The 17,774-nt window shown below is 46.2% G+C and overlaps 1 protein-coding gene across 2 annotated transcripts in view, besides 1 other annotated feature; it reads left to right on the top strand.

Moving 5' to 3' along the window:
• SLC12A8 (solute carrier family 12 member 8) overlaps positions 1–17,774 on the top strand; it is a 130,105-nt gene that overhangs the window by 9,667 nt on the left and 102,664 nt on the right. For both annotated transcript variants that reach the window (NM_024628.6, NM_001195483.2), the window contains 2 exons: positions 12,561–12,707; positions 15,654–15,845. In NM_024628.6, the coding sequence (NP_078904.4) occupies positions 12,561–12,707; positions 15,654–15,845 (339 nt within the window). The remainder of the gene's footprint in view (positions 1–12,560; positions 12,708–15,653; positions 15,846–17,774) is intronic.
• Positions 1,908–1,987: an enhancer, noted in NCBI's record as "active region_20427". NCBI's record gives its function as "activates an Ori minimal core promoter by ATAC-STARR-seq in GM12878 lymphoblastoid cells {active_cell/tissue: GM12878}" and the evidence as "EXISTENCE:reporter gene assay evidence [ECO:0000049][PMID:35858748]".

The raw sequence follows: 17,774 nt of genomic DNA, 5'->3' as shown, positions 1-17,774 counted from the left end.
AGTCTCGCTCTTGTCCCCCAGGCTAGAGTGCAATGATGCGATCTCAGCTCACTGCAACCTTCACCTCCTGGGTTCAAGCGATTCTCCTGCCTCAGCCTCCCAAGTAGCTGGGATTATAGGTGCCTGCCACCACGCTTGGCTAATTTTTGTGTTTTTAGTAGAGACGGGGTTTCACCATGTTGGGCAGGCTGGTCTCAAACTCCTGACCTCAGGTGATCCGCCCGCCTTGGCCTCCCAAAGTACTGGGATTACAGGCCTGAGCCACCGTGCCCGGCTTCTCATTAATAATTCTAAGCATGGGATGTCTTTCCATTTGTTTGTGTCCTCTTTAATTTATTTCATCAGTGTTTCGTAGTTCTCATTGTAGAGGTTTTTCATGTCCTTGGTCAGCAAGATTTTTAAGTTGTCATAACATCATTAGATACAGATTTAAAAAAAAAAAAAAAAAAAACATGGTTAATACATTCCGCCTAGCTATGAATAGAGGGACTAGGTAACTTCAAACCTTCTTACTGCCTTAAGGTAAATTTCATCCATGGTCAGATATAGACAAAATACTGCATTTGCCATCATTTAATCGTCTGGGGTTTGCAAGGAAAGCCTAGATGCTATGGTAATGCCTCTGAAGTACTATTCTTGTAATTTGAATAAGGTGCCATTAGGTGGTGCTTTTACTCTGGCCGCCTGGCCTGATTGAACACCCTGGCTTCCTGTAGGGGAGAGTAACTGAGTTTTAGCTTACCTTTTCATTCATTTTATACTTTCTCTGGCCAAAACACATCTCTTCAGAATAACAGTTAAAACATTAGATAGTTCTATATTCCTAGAACATTATCAATTAATTGTAGTAGGATTAAGAGAAATACACATACGGCTGGGCGAGGTGGCTCATGCCAGTAATCCCAGCACTTTGGGAGGCCGAGGTGAGCAGATCACCTCAAGTCAGGAGTTCGAGACTAGCCTGGCCACCATGGTGAAACACCGTCTCTACAAAAATACAAAAAAGTTTAGCTGGGTGTGGAGGCAGGTGCCTGTAATCCCAGCTACTCAGGAGGCTGAGGTGGGAGAATCACTTGAACCCAGGAGGCGGAGGTTGCAGTGAGCTGAGATCAAACCCCTGCACTCCAGCCTGGGTGACAGAGTGAGACTCCATCTCAAAAAAAATTAAATTAAAAAGAAATACACATACTTCAGTATAATTCAATTCAGTATCTCTTTTTGCTCTTCAATAATTATCAAGTATAATTTAATCTAATTCCTAAATTTTTTCTTTCTGAATTTTAACACCTTAATCAAAGGGTGGGTGCGCTTGACGTGAAAAGTCTTTAGAGGTAGTACCTATTTAAGCTTTGATGCTTCTTTTTTTTTTTTTTTTTTTTCAATCATGGCTTACTGCAGCCTCAACCTCCTGGGCCTGAGTAGCTGGGACCACAGGTGCATGCCACCATGCCTGGTTATTTTAAAAATATTTTGTAGAGGCAGGGTTTTGCCATTTTGCCCAGGCTGGTCTTGAACTCTTGGGCTCAAGCAATCCTCCCATGGGCCTCCCAAAGTACTGGGATTACAGGTATCAGCCACCTCACCCGGCTTTGATGCATTTCTAATACAATAATGCTTTAACATTTACCACTGCTTGGGAGAAAGGTCCTATTTACATTCCTTTTGTTTTTTGTTTTTAGAGACAGGGTCTCACTCTGTTGCCCAGGTTGGAGTGCAGTGATGTGATCATAGCTCACTGCAGCCTTAAACTCCTGGGACTCAAGGGATCCTCCCACCTCAGCCTCCCAAGTAGCTAGGACCACAGCACATGCCACCATGTCTGGCAAATTTTTAAATTTTTTGTAGAGATGGGGTCTCACTATGTTTCCCAGGCTGGTGATGAACTCCTTGCCTGGCCTCAAGTGATCTTCCCGCCTCAGCCTCTGAAAGCACTGGGATTACAAATGTGAGCCACCGTGTCCAGCCTGTTTGTTTTTGATTTGTTGTGTGAATGTCTTCTTCCCCACACGAACAGTCAGAAAGAAAGAAAAAAGGGTAGTGTGGTAAAAACCACTCACCTGTGTAAAAATTCTAGCATGTTCTTTTCCCAGTTTGCAGATATCCGGTAAATCACATCCATGGTCACTGTCCCTGGTTACAGGCTTTAGGAGCTTACTGATTAACTTGAGGCAATGGTGGCTGAGCAACCCTCACTAAGCCAAAAATAGTTGCGTTCCTGCTCTACCATGAGTCTCCGTGTTCATAGAATTCAACTTAAAACCGAAAGCCATGACTCCTTTTGAGTCACTTTCCTTTTTAATTTTAGGTAGTTATTAGTAAAGAATAACACAAAGCAAAAACAAATTTAAAAACTTAGAGATACACAAAGAATTTTGAGGTAGACATTGATTTTACAAAAGGATTCACCATCTTTAAGTATTCCATGTATTCAATACATTTTAAAATGTGATTGAAATCACAGGAATCTTTTGGTGAATTCATCCACTGAATAAAATGACATATAGCCATAAATGGTATCCCTAATGCCAGGTCAGCCAAAAAACCCATTCTGTTTTTAAAATATTTCTAATAATGTGGTAATTTTTTCTTTAAACATAAAATAAGTTAGTTCTTGTTGTTGTTGTTGTTTTTCTTTGAGACAGAGTCTCGCTCTGTTCCCAGCTGGAGTACAGTGGCACGATCATGGCTCACTGGAGCCTTAACCTCCCAGGCTCAGATGATCCTCCCTCCTCAGCCTCCTAAATAGCTAGGACCACAAGGGCACACCACCATGCCCAGCTTATTTTTTGTATTTTTAGTAGAGACGGGGTTTCGCCATGTTCCCAGGCTGGTCTCAAACTCCTGGACTCAAGCGATCCGCCTGCCTGGGCCTCCCAAAGTGCTGGGATTACTGGTGTGAGCCACTGTGGCTGGTCTAGGGTTTTTATCATAGAAGTACTACATGCATGAAGTGAGAAGGATTCACACAATACAGCATGACATGAAATGAAAAGCCTTCCTTCCCTCTTCCTTCACTTCTATTCCCCAGTGGCAGTCATTGCTAATGGCTTCTGGTTTTCATGTCTTCTAATTGTTCTCACTGTAACTTTAAATAATATTCTTATACCTCAGTTTCTTAGGTTACCAATTTGTTATCATTTTACTTCCTGTTTCCCATATGAAAAATAGGACGTTGGCACACATACACTTCCTTCCATTTCTCTCATTTCATTTCCATTTTTTAATAGTTGCTTTATTATTTTTACATTGTCAAGGTTTATACCATTTTTTTCTGGAACTGTATTTTCATGTTTATTATAGTTGGTTATAAAAATGTATTTTATTTTATTTTTTTTTGAGACCAGGTCTTGCTCTGTCACCCAGGCTGGAGTGCAGTGGCGTGAGCATAGTTCATTGTAGCCTCGAACTCCTGGGCTCAAGCGATCCTCCCACCTCAGCCTTCCAAGTAGCTGGGACTACAGGCATGTGCCACCACACCTGGCCTTTTTTTTTTTTTCCTTCTTCTAGAGAAGGGGTTTGATTATGTTGCCCAGGCTGGTCTCAAACTCCTGGCTTCAAGTGGCCCTCCTGCCTTGGCTTCCTAAAGTGTTGGAATTACAGGCATAAGCCACTGCCCCAGGCCTACCATCTTAACTATTTTTATGTGTACAGTTCAATGGTATTAAATACATTCATAATGTTTTGCAACCTATTTATTTATTTGACAAAATTTTACACTTACAGAAAAGTTGTAATAATACAATAAAAAACCCCACATACTCTTGACTCAGTCGATTCAGATTGACCACTTGTTAACACTTTGCCTTTTTGCTTTATCATTAGACCATTTTCTCTATATATATGTATATATTTTCTCTAAACCATATAAAAACAATTTGCAGACATCATGTCCTTTTATCCATAAATATTTCAGTGTCTATTTCCTAAGAACAAGAATGTTTTTTTACCTAACCACAGTATCTTTTTCAGGATCAGGACATTTAACATAGAAAAATCCTATTGTCAGCCGGGCATGGTGGCTCACGCCTATAATCCCAGCACTTTGGGAGGCCAAGGAGGGTGGATCACGAGGTCAGGAGATCGAGACCATCCTGGCTAACACGGTGAAACCCCATCTCTACTAAAAATTCAAAAAAATTAGCCGGGCGTGGTGGCGGGTGCCTGTAGTCTCAGCTACTGGGGAGGCTGAGGCAGGGGAATGGCATGAACTCGAGAGGTGGAGCTTGCAGTGAGCCGAGATCACGCCACTGCACTCCAGCCTGGGTGATAGAGCGAGACTCCATCTCAAAAAAAAAAAAAAATCCTATTGTCTAATCTGTAGCTCTACATTAAAATTTTACCAGTTATCCCACTAACATCCCCCAGCTTCTCCCCAAGACCTCCTTCCAGGATCCAATCCAGGATCATACATGACCCTTAGTTGTGATTTCTCTCGTTTTATTTTATTTGAGACAGAGTTTCACTATTCTCCCCCAGGCTGGAGTTCAGTGGTGAGATCTCGGCTCACTGCACCCTCTGCCTCCCAGGTTCAAGCGATGCTTCTGCCTCAGCCTCCCGAGTAGCTGGGATTACAGGCATCCGCCACCACACCCAGCTAATTTTTGTATTTTTAGTAGAGGTGGGGTTTCACCATATTGGCCAGGCTGGTTTCGAACTCCTGACCTCAGGTGATCACCCACCTCAGCCTCCCAAAGTGCTGGGATTATAGGCCTGAGCCACTGCACCTGGCCAGTTGTGACAATCTCTTTAGTCTCTTTTAATCTGGAATAGTCCCTTGGCCTTTCTTTGTCTTTTATGACCTTGACTGTTTTGTTTTTTTTTTTTTAAAGAACACATGTTGGTTATTTTGTAGAATGTCCTCAGGTTTTCTTATTTTTGTTTTTTTGTATTTTATAGGCAGAATTGGGGATGATGTCCCTCAGTTTGGGGCATGACCTGTCACAGGTAGATTTAGGTTTTCTATTTTTGGCAGGAACACCATAGCAGTGATGCAGTACTTTTCCCAGGACATCATAGTAGGAGCTACATAATTTCCATTTGTCCCATTATTGGTGATGTTAACTTTGGCTATTTATTTAAGGTGGTGTCCACTAGGTTAATCCCCTCTAAAGTTACTAATTTCTCTTTTTTGTTAATAAGTAATTTGTAGATGCTTTGAGACTATAGAAATACCCTCTTCCTCATTAATCCCTCACTCACTAGCATTAGCATCCATTGATGATTCTTGGCAGAGCTGGCTATTGCTGTGATGGCTGCAAAATGGTGATTTTCTAACCCCATAATTCCTTCCACATGGATCATTTGGTTTTCCACTGTAAGGAAGGGCTTTCTCTTCTTGCTCCCACACAGGAGTGATACCCTTGACAGAGCCACATCAGTATAAAAGGGGATATATTTGGCACTACAGCAATTCCAGTTGCTCTTCCAGCCCTCAGCCTCCAGGTCCACTCAGTGACAATGAGCAGAAATAGATATATTATGATTAGTCATGGCCAGGTGGGGTGGCTCACACCTGTAATCCCAGCACTCTGCAGGGCTGAGACAGGAGGATCACTTGAGCCCAGGAGTTTGAGACCAGCCTGGGCAACAGCGCAAAACTCTGTCTCTACAAAACATACAAAAATTAGCTGGGCATGGTGATGCATACCTGTAATCCCAGATACTCAGGAAGCTTAGGCAGGAGGATTGCTTCAGCCTGGAAAGTTGAGGCTGCAGTGAGCCGTGATCATGCCACTGTACTCCAGCCTGGGTGACAGAGCAAGACCCTGTCTCAAAGAAAAAAATCGGTTAATTAATTTATTTATGTCTGTATGGACTCAGATTCTTATTCTATTCCTTGAATATTCTATTGCTATTATTTACTTTCAGGGCCAAATTGTGCCAGATTTGGCTAGTGGGAGCCCCTTCAAGTGGCTCTTGTGTCCTTTTGACACATCCTTGTCATTTTTTTCTTTTTAGCACTTCCCTACTTTCTGGTACAAGATATTCCAGACTCATTTTGTACGTTCTCTGCCCTAGCCTTGAATTAGCAACTTCTGCAAGGAGCCCTGGTTCCTTAAAGTGAAGAATGATATTTAGAAATCAAGATCTGGGTGCTAGGTATGTTCATTGCCACTGGGATGTCTTGGCTTATAGTCACTTTTTTTGTTTGTTTGAGACAAGGTCTCCTTTGTAGCCCAGGCTGGAATGCAGCAGCATGATCGTAGCTCACTGTGACCTTGAATTCCTAGGCTCAAGCAATCCTCTTGCCTCAGCCTCCTATGTAGCTAGGACTACAGGCATGCACCACCACACCTGGCTACTTTTTCTATTTTTTGTAGAGGTGTGGTCTCATTATGTTGCTCAGGCTGGTCTTAAACACCTGGCCTCAAGCAATTATCCAGCTTCTGTCTCCCAAAGTGCTGGGATTACAGGTGTGAGCCACTGTGCCTGGCCTTATAGACACTTTAAGTGGGCAGAGGGAAAGAATGTAAATATAAATATGTACAGTGATCTATCTAGGTCTCTATATATTAAAAACCATAAATTCATACTAATACGTCTAACTCCAATTCCTCAGTATGGGGGTTATTCTTCTCTTATTTCCTTAGTTGGAATTCCTTCTCCAACTGTGAGAAACTTGACTCTTATTCAATATATTTTGTTATTTGCTTATAATTCACAGAAAGCAGATTTAGAATTGGTAATTCATACTCCTACAAATACCCAAATTTTCTATCTGGCATTTAATATTAATTGCAGTTATTTTTGTTTTCGAATGTGATACATAGTCAAAGTACTGTGTTCATAAGTTACTCTGGTTAGTTCTTTTTCCGCTTTAAGTATGGTTACGTCATTCATTTGAAATACAGCTAGGATAATTTGTTTCTCTTTGCATTCTATTTAGATTTTTAACTTTCATCTTTGTTGATTTAATTGTATTTGATTTTGAGTATATGTAAAATATTAACATGATTCCAAAAATTTTAACTATATGAATGGGTCTACTCACTACATAAGAATTCTTAAATGGATAGAATAGTGGCTGATCCACTGAAGCACCTGGAATGATAACCTTTTTGCAGCTGATGTTTCACTGGTTCGCCTGTTATTAGGGGGAGGGCATTAGGGTCTATTTTGCTCCTCCTTGTGTTAAATCCAGGTAGACTTCCTAGCGGCAGCCTGTGTCCAGCAGGAAAAGCTCTGCCCTTTTGCTAAGGAGGTTGGGAAGGGCAGAGGAAGCCCTTGTTTAGGTGGCCTTGACATGGCTGCTGTGGGGTTTTGTCATTTGCCAGACGACATCAGATTTCCAGAGCTCATCTCTGGGCTCTGAGTTTTGAGGCTGCTGTGTGGTCCTGGGAGGCAGAACTTCGGCATCAAAGTTTTCACAGCCTCTGATGGTCTTGCCACTCTGCGGGCTGAGCCATGTGTGACCAGGTCATGCCCTTGTGAGAATCCCAGCCTTGAACAAGTGTGAAGATGCACAGATATGGAGAAAAAAAAAAAACAACAGATTGAGTCTGTGGGAATGACTAGATTTCAACCCCAGCTTTCATACCAGCTCTGTGGTAGAAGAGACTGACACAGCCACGAAGACCTCACATTTCTAGGAATGACTAAATCTATACAGACCAAGGGTGCTGCCCAGATCCTAACCCAGGGAAATCAGACTTTGACGGCTCCAATTGGATCCTTGCTTCCTTGGCTACAGAGCCATTTCCATTTCCAGCATCAGTCACATGGGGCAGCACTCAATGGAGGTCCATTCTGGAACTCCCACTACAAAACAGAAGGGATGGGCTCTCTCTTACTCAGAATGCCTGGGCTGGGCAGGGGTTAGAGATGCAGCTTTCAGGGCTGAGCTGTAGAGCAAGGATTCCACTTTAAACATGAAGACAAGTTAGCTGGGGAAAGCAGCAAATGCAGTCAAAAGACTTCTTTGTCTTCCTTCCAACTTCCCTGAAGAAATCCTCATGTATATTTAAAATCCTCTGTTGTGTTTTGTGTTTACACAAACTTTCACAACTATCATCTCATCTAAACTTTACAAAACCCCCCTGAGGCAGGCATGTAGCTGCACATGTGGACTGTGGCCCATGGAACCCACAGCCATGCTGGCGCCCGGCCCAGCTCTCAACCCCTGTGGTCCAGCACATGGGGCCGGTTCAGAGGCAGGGGAAAGGAATGAGGCTCCTCAGTCTGCCCATTGGACTGCAGTTCAGCAGCAGCTTGGGTATATTCTCTGATGTTTAATTAATAATCCAATATTAACTTTCAGAAAGCCATCTGCTGGTTCGCATGTGTATGTAATCCAGGTGGAACCAGTCTCTGCAGGTGCACTTTGGGAGAAAGGGGCAGGCTGGGTCTTGCTTCCACCTACACCCCTGACCTGAATGGACAGAAGCAGAATTTCTCACCTGATTGCTTTTCCTCCAGCTCCCAGAAAGGAGAAAAGGTGTCATCTGACATTGCAGATGCATTCATGAAGACTTAGCTGGTGACTGTTTGAGGCAAAAGGCTTCTGGGGCTGAGCTCATGTCATTGCCTCTGGCAGAACTTTCCAGCCTCTTACTCAGCTCTGCTTGCTGGATGCAGGATTGAGAGTATTTCCTACTCAGGTGCAACTTCCCCACCTTTCTAGACAACCCCCTACCCCCACCAATCTGCCCCCCACCTCGCTCAAGTATGGAGATTATTCACAGGAGAACGACTTCCCCTTCTGAACTAAAAACACCCACCAGGCAGTCATGGTTTTTCCAGCATGGGGCGCAGGCCCCTGGGCTCAGAGGGACAGGAGTCTGGCTTCTTGTCCTGGGGGCTTGGGAAGGAAGACCCTAGCAATGAGGAGCATGGCAGAGGGATCATCCTGGGCCAGGCGCCAAGTCGCCGCACCCCTGGAACCTGTCAAGCTGGCCCCTGCCAGGCTGAGGGTCTTCAGGGAGGAGAGGACTCTTGCCCTCAGGCATGTTTTATGCTGCCCTTTCTGAGGGATTGATTTGCCCCTTGCTTTTCTTATCCCCCTCATCCTCTATCTCTACTTTGCTGTAGACTCAATCCTGGGTGTAGGGTACATTCCTTTTCCCCAGCCCATTATGTCTATGTAATAGGATGTTGAATGGGATTCATGTTATGCTGGAATTGAGGACTGGGGCCCAAATCTGGGACACTAGGTCCTAAAGAGAGCTACCCATGGTTGGGACCAGACCTCTCTCCTGGTGTTTAACAAGAGAGCCTGGAACTGGCCTAAGCTTCAGCAACCATCACCCCAGCGCTTCCACCCCCTCCTCCCCTGGGCAACAGAAATGACTGGGTGGTGGCACTCAGAGAATCTTAGCGTGGACTTTGTGGGAGGGCCTATTTGGGTTGAGGGGTTCCTTCCTTCTGCCTCAGGGGAAGGAATTGGGGATGCAGACTCAGGAGAATCCAGTACTTTGTGTGTATGTGGACGGGAGCTGACATTCTGTCCTCATGTTACATGTCTGCCCGTACTGCAGACCGTGGTCCTGCCCCTCAGCCTGTCAGAGCAGGAGCTGAAGAGAACGGGAGAGCACGCAGGACAGAGCAAGAGCTCTCACGACGCAAGGGAGCTGCTTTGAGTTCTCCAGCCAGTCCTCTCCCAAGAGGCGAGCTCTGGGCACTAGCTAAAGTCTGAATGGCATCACAAATGTGGCGAGCCTGGACAAGGGATCTGTGAGAAGAGCGGGGACACACAAGCTGCTACTTCTTTTTTTTTGAGACAGGGTCTCACTCTATCACCCAGCCTGGAGTGCAGTGGTGCAATCTCGGCTCACTGCAACCTCAGCCTCCCAGGTTCAAGTGATTCTCATGCCTCAGCCTCCCGAGTAGCTGGGACTACAGGCACACACAACCACACCCGGCTAATTTTTGTATTTTTTAGCAGAGACAGGGTTTCGCCATGTTAACGAGGCTGGTCTCAAACCCCTGACCTCAAGTGATCCACCCACCTCAGCCTCCAAAAGTGCTGGGATTACAGGCATGAGCCACTGCGCCCAGCCCCAAGCTGCTATTTCTACATGGATGCCTGGGAGGCAGCGTGGCATCTGGGAAATATCCCTCGGGGGCTTTATTTGGCATTTTATTCTGGGGCTTTCCATCTCATCCTCTTCCCCTTTCTCTCTGTTTTGGTTTCGTCCTTTTCCTTCTTTCTCTGTCTCTTGCTGGGCTTATGTAGTGTCTCTCTCTTTCTCCAAGAACATCAGGGTTACTCCCTTGGAGTCAAACCTACGCTCTTCCCACCCAGTCTCCGATGAGCAGACTGTGGGAAGACTGAGTTATAGTTTTTTGTCATGTGGTGAGAAAAGGTAGGTACACACCCCTCAATATCCTGAAACAAGCTGCCAGGGCTCAGTCACCAAACCCATTTTAAACCAGTTATATTTTCATTCTCAGGGTAAAGGGTTTCCTGAAGTTTCTACCTGCTCTAAGTTTCTACCCTTGAGGCTGATTGACTAGTCCAGTGAGATCAAGGAAATGAAAGGCATTTCACACACCAGCAGGTAAACAAACGCATATGCAAACCAGCCTTCAGAATGGGAAAATGAAGGCACGCGTGAAAGAGGAATAAGGTTTCTGTCATCACAAAGGCATTCATGGGTAAGGCAGATGTATTCGCAGTTATGCAAAGTCCAGAGTGTTAGAATTTGAAACCTGAAAGACTTAAATTTAGGGGCAAAAAGGGCAAGTAATGTTTAGGTGAGTGTGGGGCAGGGAAAAGCACAGATCTTACAAGTGCTGGGGGAAGCCCTGGCTGTGAGACTGGGCCGTCAGGTTTCTTCTCTCAGCCTCCATCTCCTCAGCCCTCAGTGGGGCCCCCTCCCGGCCTGCCTCACGGGGCTGCCGTGAGGAGCAGAGCAGAGAGCTCCTGTGGAAGCTGATGGCACTCTCTACAGTATTAGTCTTTTTGTTGCTGAGAGTCACTGTTATTACTGAGGAACAGTCGGCCTGTAGCAAGCCACGATAGGAAGTGGAACACAAGCAGAGACAGGAAGTTGGGACCCATCCTGAATTTCGAGATGAGGATCCTGGGAAACACTCCTGCATTCCCCAGACAGGTCCTTTGGTACCATTTGCTCAAGGACAAGCCTAGATTGGCAGAGTCTTTGTTCCGAACCACGAGGACTGTTCTGACAATTATTGACTTTCAGGAGATTGCTCATTTGTGGTTTGTGAAGGACAGGCAAGCAGTCATGTACATGCATAAATGAAGCTTACGGAGTTGGAGACTGACGGAGACACAAGGGGTCCCCTGGCCCATCAGTCCCATGTGGCTGAATTGAGATCCCTGAGTATTTCTCGAGGCCCCTTCTTGATCTGTGGATGTCTGATACAGGAGGTGGAAGAGGAGCTGGGATCCTCCCTTTTGGTTTTGAGCACATGCCGTTGGCCTTAGCCTTTGGTTCTAGATCCTGGGCGCACCCATTGTTCTCAGCCATTCAGGAGCCATGCCCCGTGGACTCTGGATCTTGGATTTTTCCCTAAACTCTTGATTTTTCTGCCTTTTTATTGTGTTTATGGATAACATTTGCTCACCAGGTCCAGATTCATTGCACACAGTGACTCCTAGCTTTGGATGCCTCTCTCTCCCCACCCACCCCACCCAGCTGAGAACCGTAATCACTGCTGTAGTCGTTTGTGGTCACTGGAAGACTCTGTTCATGCCTGAGTTTAGATTAATTGCCAAACCTACATAAGAGCATTCACAGTGTGAGTTACTACTGGTTTTGTTTAAGATCATTTTAGTATATCCACGAAGTTATGGTTTTTTTAGTAAAGGGTTTCCATTTGAGTGTTTATAAGTGCCTTTGTTATTTGTGAATTGGAAAAATGAGCAAGGAATCTGTTTTTTCATTATTCGCCTCTGATTCCAAACAATTGTCCAGTAATGCTGAAGAATCCTGGGGTATCAGCAGAGATCACTGTATTAGTGCTCAGTAAGGAAAACAGAAATAACTTCAGTCATTTTAAACAGGGAATCTCATCCACAGGGCTGATTGCAGAGGTGTTAGAAGGGCTGAAGGAGCAAAGAGCGCTTCAGTAAGGTTGGCCAAATGTCAACTGCCGGAAGCTGCTGTCCCTGCTAGGACTGGAGGATGAAGAGGGCTCATGACCATGAGCCCCAGGAGGTGAAACCCAGAATCTCACACTCACTTAGAAGTGTCATCTATTGCTTCTGCCTGCATTCCATGGGCTAGAACTCAGTCACACAGCCACTTCTAGCTGCAAAGAGGCTGGGAGTCTACCTGACTCCCTGACTACTTGAGTGATGACCAGAGGAAAAGGACTACGTTTGTGAATAATGAGTCTCTGCTACATATGGATACGGAATCACTGTTGTTACAAGAGAACAGTGATCCTTTTGTAGAGGTATGCTTCAAGATGTGTGTGTGCGCATGTGTGTGTATGTGCATGCATGTGTGTATACACACACACTTGCCCTGGCACAATAAGACAGGACTGTTTTTAAGCTGAGTTCTCCTACCTCCCTCCTCCTGTTCCACTCTCATGCCATCCCTGGCCCTCCCAATGGCCCCTCAGCTGATTTCTGTGTGTTCTGTTTGCAGGATGCCCTGGCCCAGCCCCAGCCCTGGTGGAAGACCCAGCTGTTCATGTGGGAGCCTGTGCTGTTTGGGACCTGGGATGGTGTGTTCACATCCTGCATGATCAACATCTTTGGGGTTGTGCTCTTCCTGAGGACTGGCTGGCTGGTGGTGAGTGCTGAGTTGGTGGCCTGGAGCCTCTCACGGGCCCAAGACAGGAAAGCTCTGCCACTCTTGCATTCTACAGTGCAGGCCACAGATTCCTGAAGCACAGATGCTCCTGAAACACGAAACAGAAGCAAGCACGATGAATAGCTAGCATTGCTTGTTAAATGAGCATCCTGTGAAGATAGGCTTCCGAATTTCTAATGGAAACCTCACACCATAGATTTAACTGCAGAATAGGAGCACAGAAGTCAGGGCTCATCATGAGCCGGACTTGAGATGGGTCAGAGAGATCAGATTGATGGCAATTTTGCCTCCAGCTTGTGGCCCTCTGTAGTTTTCCCGGTATTCTTCACTTCATCTTGGGCCCGCCCACATGGTTGCCTTCCCCCACCACACTGCAACCCTGTAGGTAAGACTGTGCATGGGGATGCTTGGTCAGAGGTGTGGGCCGCCTACCTCTAGGGATGGATTGCCTAGGATGGACTCTGCTGTGTGAGATCCTGGGGGTCAGTTCATCTCCCCCTGTAGAAGGAACAAAAGGCCTCTTCTTTAATTCTTATGCAAAGCATCCTAGGACCTTCCAAGCAGATGTGTGCCTGGGGCAGGGGTTCTCAGTCCCACACACAGTGCCATCTCATGCAGTGGGACTTCAGTAGACCACACAGGTGCGCAGAACAAAAGGCAAGCCAGTCACCATCTAAACATGGATGAGCACCTGCTGTGGGCCAAGCACTACTTAGTGCCAGTGGGATCACAAAAGACAAGACATGGCCTGGGCCCTCATCCCCTCCTCTCTTCCCCGCCCCGCCCTATGAGCTAACAGCTGTGGTGGGTAGATATTGCATTAGGAGAGTTCTGAAAACAGCATTAAGTCCCTTGGGGTGGAACAGGCTATGAGTGCTGCAGTCACTGAGGTGTCAGGAAGCCTTCCTGGAGGAGATGCAGTTGAGCCAGGCTTTGAAGGGTGAGCTGGACTAGATGGGTGAAAGAGAGGAGGCCATTCAAGGTGTAGAATCTACTAGTCAGGATTCTCCAGAGAAACAGGCCAATGCCAACAGGAGATGTAAGTATGTCATGTATATATTAGCAGGTAAGGATTGATGCTGCAGTCTTGAGTCTGAAGGCTGGAAATGCAGGAAGAATTTCTGTATTGCAGCCTGGAGGCAGAATTCCTTCCTCTTTGGGAAACCAGCCTTTGCTTGTAAGGCCTTCAACTGATTAGACGAGGCCCACCCATACTATGGAGGGTAATCTCCTTTACTTAAGGTCAACTGATAGTAAATATTAATCACATCTGAAAATCACCTTTACAGCAACATTTAGACTAGTGTTTGACTAAACAATTAGTTGCCGTAGTCTAGCCAAGTTGACATATAAAATTAACCATTACATAGGCAAATTTGGGGAGATTTAAGCTCCTTTATAGTGGGATGTACAGGATTCTTAGCCCCCATAAGAAGTCTGGGCAAGACCAGACCTTCCTAAGCTCTCATTCTACACCACACTCAGATCCTCAGCTCAGGTTTCGGCCTTAGCCACAGCCAGGGTGGGTCTCAGACCAGCAGTGGAGCCCTTGAGCATTATATTATAAACACTGGAACAGAGTACAACTGACTTCCAGGACAATTTTCCAGCTCATGTTAGGCCACTCAGCTCTTGAACTGGCTCTGCCCACTCCTAGGACCCTCTCCAGCACTCACAACACATGAAGTCTTGACTATCAGGAGTCTTCCTTGCTTTCTATTGCAAAACATGTGACATTACATCTCCTTCTTAGAAGTGCTGTGTCCACTGCCTCTCTGCGACTCTTGCTTTTCACACTGAAATGTGTCTGTCTACATGTGTTCATCTCCAGCCATGCATGGTTTGTTTATTCGCTCAACAAGCATTTAATGAACACCTATTTTGTGGAGGTTATGCTAAGCACTGAGAATATGAAGGGGAAGAAAACATGATCCTGCTCCGTATTAGTCCATGTTACATTGCTATAAAGGAATACCTGAGGCTAATTTATGAAGAAAAGAGGTTTATTTAGCTCACAGTTCTGCAGGCTGTACAAGAAGCATGGCACCAGCATCTGCACTTGGTGAGGCCTCAGCAAGCTTTCACTCATGGGGGAAGGTGAAGAGGGAGCAGCGTGCCACGTAGCCGGAGAGAAGGCAAGAGAGATGCCAGGCTCTTTTAAACAACCAGCTCTCCTGTGAACGAACAGAGTGAGAACTCACCCATTACTGTGGGAGGACACCAAGCCATTCACGAGGGGTCCACCCCCATGACCCAAACACCTCCCACCAGGCCCCACCTCCAACATTGGGGATCACATTTCGACATGAGATTTGGAAGGGATCCAAATCCAAACATCTAAACCATATCATCCTCCCCTGGAGCTCACAGCCTAGAGGTCAAAACTGGCTTGGAAACAGACTCAATATGACAAGTCCTGTGAAAAGTACTAAGCCCTGGCACTGGAGGAGCCCAGAGAAAGGGTTACAGGGCCAGCTTCCTGGTGAGAAATCCTAAACGTTGAGGCCTAAAGGATATGCTGGAGTTAACCTGACAAAGGTACAGAATGAGCAGGAGAGGCCTTCCAGGCAGGGGAATCAGCATGAGGAGGGGTGGGGGTGGGGAGAGAACTTGTCGCTGCACGTCAGGCACAAAGTGAGATTAGGAGGCACCTCGTGAGGGCATCAGCAGCTCTGACTGTACCCTATAGGTGGGAGAGTCATTGAAGAATTTGCAGCCAGGACGCTTCCTTTCACTTAGAACTTCTTCCTGGCCTTGGCTGTTGTGGTGCTTGCTTTGTCCTTTTTAGTTGTCCTGACTCTGTGCCCCCACCCCTGGCCCCTATTCCAGTGCTGTGGGAGGAGGGGAGGTGGTCAATGCCCCCAGCAGGGAGCTGGCGGGGCCTCCTCACCTAATCCAACCTTGCTCCTTGCTATTCTGCTGCAGGGAAACACAGGAGTGCTCCTGGGCATGTTCCTGGTGTCCTTCGTCATCCTGGTGGCCCTCGTCACGGTGCTGTCTGGCATTGGCGTCGGGGAGCGCAGCAGCATCGGCAGCGGTGGCGTCTACTCCATGATCTCCTCGGTCCTGGGTGGGCAGACGGGAGGCACCATCGGGCTGCTCTATGTGTTTGGACAGGTGAGGCCTGCGCCCGGGATGCTTCCCCTGCCTGGCCCTCTGCCACTTTCTTCTTGTCCATTTCCTCACTTGACCTGGGGAGAAGCGAGGGTGGGGACAATTGCCGCATGTGACAGACGAGCAGGTTGGGGCTCTGAAGGGAATTCAGCAGAGAGTCAAGTCACTATCCAGGGCCTGACCTCTTAGTCCAGCACTCCTTTCCCTCTGCCACTCCCGCCTCCTGGATGCCTGATGTGACCAGCAGGGCAGGGCCTGGCCAGCACATTCTTGCTGTTCAATCTGGGGACCAGATTGCATGACAGTGGCTGAAGCCCAGGTGGCAGCCAGGTGGCAGCCAGGTGGCCTGGGCCCTGGGACGCTTTTTTACTGAAGATGGGTATTTTGCCTGTGCCAAAGGGCTTTCCTAGAAGCAGGCACTTCTCAAATGAGCAGGAGCTCCCGGGAGCATTTGATAGCTCGGGTGGCCTTCACAGGGAGGCTGACAGCCTCTTGTGTGGACGCCCTGTCTGAGAGGGAGAATGTTAATGAGGAGTGTGCTTCATCAGAATGGACGGAGGCACTCCGAAAACGAGCGAGTAGGGGGAAATCCTAAGGCTTTTTTAGCTAAAACACAGGCATGGTGACTTAATGCTGAGGGAACAAAGTACAGACATTAAGAAGCAGTTCTTTGTCAGCATTTCTTGGATTGAAAAAGGCTTTTATGAGAGTGCAAATGGTGGTGGGTGGTTGAAAAAACAGTTTAAAGAGAAGAATTTGTCTAAGTTAGAGTGTGCAAGAATCTCCCCAGAGAAAGCATCGGTTTTGTTTCTTTTATTTTTAGGCAGCAGGAGCAGGGTGTTTCAGCATAAATATATCTGATTCTCGAACAGCACAGAGCTGCGTGTGTGCATGTGTGGGCGGTGGGGGTGCCTGTGTGTGTCTAAGACAGTGCAGGAAAGGCAAACAGATGGCCTCTGCACTCTTAAAAAGCACTTGCCTTGACTGCAGAAAGTTATTTAAGTATAGTAGTTGGAGAGGGGAGTAATAAATGGTCAGTTTACTTTATTACCCTGGGGACTTGGTATATAAATTTTTTTTTTTTTTTTACTTCTCTGCTATTTTATAGCCAACCAGGCTGCAAGGTAGGCAAAATCCTGCTTTCCCCCTCTCGGTACAGACACCAAGTGAGCCTCTAGAGGCAGATGCCATGGATGGGCACTGGTGTGAACACCCCTGGACAAAGACAGGCATCTGTGCTGCTGAGAGTCCCACTTACATGGGCTGATTTGGAAAAAAGATGTTCACAGATAAGATGTTTTCTAAGTGCTGGCAGCCACGGCCTGAGACGCCACTGCACCAGCATCCCAGCTATTTTCCTGCCTTTCCACTTGGGCCCTGGTCCCAAACATTAGAGTCCCCCTGGTCACTGTCTCTGGAGTGCCTGTGCTTTGTTTGTCGCTGGCGCGGGCCAGGAGTCCCTGATCAGGGTGTGGTTAGTGTGTAATCCTTTTTATAAATTGCTGAATTTGGTTTGTTAACATTTTGTGGAGGATTTTTGTGTATATATTCATGAGGGATATTGGTCTGTAGTTTCCTTGTGATTCTTTGTCTGGTTTTGGTGTCAGGCTAATTCTGGCCTCGTAGACTGAGTTGGAAGGTGTTCCCTCCTTCTCTATTTTTTGGAGGAGTTTGTGAAGGGTTGGTGTTAATTCTTTAAACATATGGTAGAATTTTGCCATGAAGCCATCTGGTCCTGGGTTTTTTTTGATAGAAAGTTTTTTGGTTACTAATGGAATCTCTTTACTTATATAGGCATATTCTGATTTTCTACTTCTTCTTGATTTAGTTTTGATAGTTTATATCTTCCTAGGAATTTGTCCATTTCTTTTTTTTTTTTTAATCTGGGAATTTTGTTTTGTTTTTTGTTTTTTGTTTTTGAGACGCCGTTTT

This window comes from Homo sapiens, chromosome 3 (genome assembly GCF_000001405.40).
Source record: "Homo sapiens chromosome 3, GRCh38.p14 Primary Assembly".
NCBI classification, from domain to species: domain Eukaryota; kingdom Metazoa; phylum Chordata; class Mammalia; order Primates; family Hominidae; genus Homo; species Homo sapiens.
This window is presented reverse-complemented; position numbering and strand designations above follow the sequence as displayed.